General features: G+C 45.6%; 1 annotated feature.

The window, feature by feature from the left end:
- Positions 729-778: a silencer, noted in NCBI's record as "silent region_16571". NCBI's record gives its function as "represses an Ori minimal core promoter by ATAC-STARR-seq in GM12878 lymphoblastoid cells {active_cell/tissue: GM12878}" and the evidence as "EXISTENCE:reporter gene assay evidence [ECO:0000049][PMID:35858748]".

The following is a 4631-nucleotide window of genomic DNA, read 5'->3' as shown; positions in this document are numbered from 1 at the left end:
GGTCTTACTTGTGGCTTATCAGGAAATTATCATTTTTAAAAATAAGCCAGTGAAAAAGACAGCTGGGATTTTAAAGTATGCTTTTATTACATTTCAAGGGCAAGATTTATTCCACTCCTTAGTATTGTAATTAAAGTAAATGAAATAGGATTTGGTATTATATTTGCCTTTCCAACAACCTTTTGGAGACACCTGCTTTGCTCTACAAAGGGAAAGCCATCTGCTCATGTATTCATTGCATTAAATACCCACTCACTCACTCAGTCCACAATTATGTGTTGCCCTCCTACTGTGTACCAGGCCCTGGGCTCAATACAAGGCACACACTGGTGAGCAAAACAGGTCTGCTCCTGCCCCCATGTGCTTAGAGTCTAGTGATAAAGTCAGGTGTTAAACTAAGATGTGCACCAAGAATGTATGACCAGAAATATGTTAAGTGCCAGGAAGGAGAGGAACAGGGGCTCTGGTAGCCTCTAAGAAAGGAATCGACCTGGTCCAGAAGTTCAGGAAGGGCTTCCTGGGGAAGTAACCACTGCCCCAGGAGACAAGAAGAAATGAACACAGGGAAGAGGACAGGGAAGGAAGTGTGTAGGGGAGGCAACAGAATGTGCAGCGCCCCATAGCGCATGGACCAAGCACAGTGCCGTCGTTGGGGAACTGAGAGTCGCCGGGGGAGTATGGTGTGTGACCAGGCAGCACAGGTAGGTGGAACCAGACTACCCAGTCTTGTGAGCCCAGGTAGGGATCTAGGTCTCTTCCTAGGGAGCAATATAAAACTGCTCAGAATAGGGATTGACCTGATTGGATTAAATCTACTTAGGTGCTGGACATTTGGGGTGGCACAGGGAAAAGAATGTCTCAACCCTCAAAGAATTTTCCGTCAGATTCCCTGGCATTAATAAAGCTCTGCTCAAAATTAGGTCATTGGTTTTTCTCAGAAATATAGGTATCACTCTTGTGCTAACAATGGTTTTAAAAATATATAAAAATTAAAATAATAAGCCAGGCACAGTAACTCATGCCTGTAATCTCAGCACTTTGGTAGGCCAAGGCGGGAGGATCACTTGAGGTCAGGAGATCAAGACCAGCCTGGGCAACATAGTGAGACCCCCATCTCTACTAAAAATAAAAAATTCTCCAGGCATGGTGGTGCATGCCTGTAGTTCCAGCTACTCAGGTGGCTGAGGCAGGAGGATCACTTGAGCCCAGGAGGTCGAGGCTGCAGTGAACTATGATCATATCACTGCACTCCGGCCTGGGTGATAGAGTGAGATCCTGTCTTTATTTTTAAAATAAAAAGAATAAAAATATCTAATACCTCCTAAGTATTTGCTGCTTTATGTTTTTACTTATTATTTCATTCAATCCTTGCCTCAAGTTGTAAGCATTATCACTCCCATTGCATAGATGAGGAAAATGAAGTTCAAGAAGGGATAGTAACTGCCCAAGGTCACACAGCTACTGGCAGATCTGAGGTTCAAACCTGGGACTGTCTGAATGTCAGCTCTGCCATCTCTAGGCGCCATAATCTTGGGAATTCTTGCCCAGAAATTCAAGGACAGCCAACATGACAGGTCTAAACCATTCATTCCTCCTGAAATGTCAAAGTCAACAATGGGCTATACTTTGCCAAAGCCACTGGCCAACTGTCTCCTTGTCTTACTTGACCTTCTGTGCCAGTGAGCAGATGATCACCCCTCCTTCTTAAAACATGGTTCCTCTTTGATCAGTACCTGGTTGTCCTCCTACCTGCTGCTATTCCTTCTCAGTCTCCTCTGCCCACTACCCCTCCTCAACTTGACCTTTAATTGTTAGGCTCTACAAAGTTCTGCCCTTGGCTATTTTTCTATTTATAATCCTCCATTTGATGATCTCATCCACCCACCCCAAGACTTTAAATTGGATCCATAAACTGGTGACAAATCCACACCTCCTTCCCCCACCTCTCCCCTGGTCATGTCTCCACATGGTTGTCTAATTGACCCACCAAGTTAACTCTGGACACCCACCGCCAAACTCTCTCCTGCCCTTAACAACTCCATCTCACTAAACGGCACCTCCTTGTACTTTGTTGCTGAGGCCAAAAGTCTAGGTCTTATCCTTGATTCATCTCTTTCCCATATGGCTCACCTCCACTCCATTGACAAGCCCTGTTGTTTTGCCTTTCTTTCAACTATATTCTGAATTCACCCACTTCTTACTACTTCCATAGTACCATCTTAGTCCAAGCAACTGTTTTGTCTTACCTGGACTACTTCAGTTGCCTCCTAACTGGTCTCTCTGCATCCGTCTTTGCTCTCCTACATTCTATTTTTCACACAGTAGTCAGAGATACAGGTGTTCAATTTGTACACTTAAAGAGTCTGACCTGGGTCCGAATCTTGCCTCAGCCATGGGGCAACCCACTTTGCCACTTGGTTTCCCCATCTCTCAACCAGGGGTAATGAAATCTGTGATAGCATTGTTTGAGCACTAAGTGAGGTGGTGTGTATATCATGCTTAATGTAGTTCCTGGCTTGTAATGAGTGCTCAAATATGTTATTACTACACACTGCTCAGATTTCCTCAAAGGCAGCCTTGCTAGATGAGCATCAGCTGAAGGTGATGCTGATCAGAAAATGAAGCAACGCCTAATTCATTATATGTCAGCCTCCCAGTTCCTATCTGACCTATGGTGGCCATGGAGCATCACTTCCCGCCCCATCCCTGGATGCCTGTTGACAATCACGGATGTGCACACACACTGGCCTATGAGCAGAGTTTTGAAATGTGAAGTGAGATGGGATTTGAATAGCAGTTTTCTTTGCACATAAAGAAACCACTCCCTGAAACCACTATCCTCCAGACCCAGATGGGAGCCCTGAAATTTACAAGCTCCAGCTCTGAGACAGGGCTTTGCTGTCACAACTTGAAAGAGCCAAAGGCCTGGCCAAGAGAAGAGGTGGATGTGGCCAAGGGTAGAGTCACGATGTTTGTGCCCTACTGTGGACTTTTCAAATTATGAAAACAAAAAATCTCATTCTTATGGAGACATGAGACCCAAACATCATAGGCTGGAGGATGCCTGCCCTCTGGTGAGGAATCACAAGGCAGGCCCCTGCATTCACCTTCTCTCCTCTTTCCTCACCCCTTCCTGGAAAACAGGGATGAGGCTACAAAGTCAGACAGACCTGGGTTCAAGTTCTAGCTCAGCCACTTTCTGGCTGTGTGACCTGTGACAACTATGAATCCTCTTTGAACCTTGGTTTGTTCATCTATAAACTGAAAAGTAATGGTATTACCGATTTCATAAGGAGCTGTGATCATTGTAGAAATAATAAGTATCGTATCTAAAAAGGGAGAGGCAATATAAGATAGCAGTTAAGACTGTGGTCTCTGGAGTTTGAATCCAGCTCTTCCACTCACTGGCTGTGTGACCTTCAACGAGTCACTTGACCTATCTGATTGTCTAATCTGTAAAATGGGGATAACAATTGCTCCTGTCTCCATGATACATTGTGGGAACTAAAGTTGTTAACACATGTCAAGAGCCTTGAACAGTGGCTGACACTTAGCAGGTGCCTGCTTGCTGTTATTTCTGCCTGCTTCCTAGGGCCCACAGATGACCTGCTGTACAAAGAGCTTGGGTGGAAAGGAAGTCCCAAGATCAGGTGGAAGATAATTCCATTACGTGCTCCATTATATGAAGACTCATTGTAATTTTGCTTGATTCCCAGAAAGCTTTGCACCTGTTAGCAAACTAACTCCTGAAAATGAGGCTGCTGGGACCTACATGGGACAAGTCTTTCCATAGAGCTGTAAGGGAAGACATGCAGATGGACACAGTTCCTGTGCCATCTACTCTTAATGCCCACTTACCATGAGCACACAGAATGAACTGGCTTCAAACAGCATCTGGCCTCCTGCCTCTAATCGGTTCTCCACTAAACAGCCAAAACAGACTTGGCAGCATTCAGCAATGCCCATCCTATCCCTGCTCCTCAGGGACCCCAGAGAGAGTCCAAGCCCCTTACCTGGCCTTCAGATTTTCATACAATCTGCCTCCAGCCCCCTTCCCTGATGCTTTCTCTCCATAAGATGTTCCCTCTGTCCACCCACCTCAAACACACATACCACTGCCACTCTGGACTACTTACTTCCCCAAATGTAAACCATAGGTTTATATCTTTGTGCTTTTTCCCCTTTGGTTTGCTCAGTCTGGATTGCCCATTGTATTAGTCCATTCTCCCGAGGCTGTAAAGAAATACCTAAGACTGGGTAATTTATAAAGAAAAGAGATTTAATTGGCTCATGGTTCTGCAGGCTGTACAGGAAGCATAGTTCCTTCTCCTTCTGGGGAGGTCTCAGGAAGCTTCTAATCATGGTGGAAGGCAAAGGGGGAGTGAGACATCTCACATGGTGGGAGTGGGAGCAAGAGAGAAGGAGGAGGTGCTACACACTTTCGAACAACCAGATCTCACAAGAACTCACTCACTATCGCGATGACAGTACCAAGGGAGATGGTGCTAAACCATTCATGAAGGAACACCCCCATGATTCAACCACCGCCCACAGGGCCCCTCCTCCAACACAGGGAATGCTCACTCACCTGTGCAGTCATTGCCACATCATAGGTACAGAGGGTGGTCCCG

The sequence above is a fragment of the Homo sapiens genome, chromosome 5 (genome assembly GCF_000001405.40).
Source record: "Homo sapiens chromosome 5, GRCh38.p14 Primary Assembly".
Classification (NCBI taxonomy): domain Eukaryota; kingdom Metazoa; phylum Chordata; class Mammalia; order Primates; family Hominidae; genus Homo; species Homo sapiens.
This window is presented reverse-complemented; position numbering and strand designations above follow the sequence as displayed.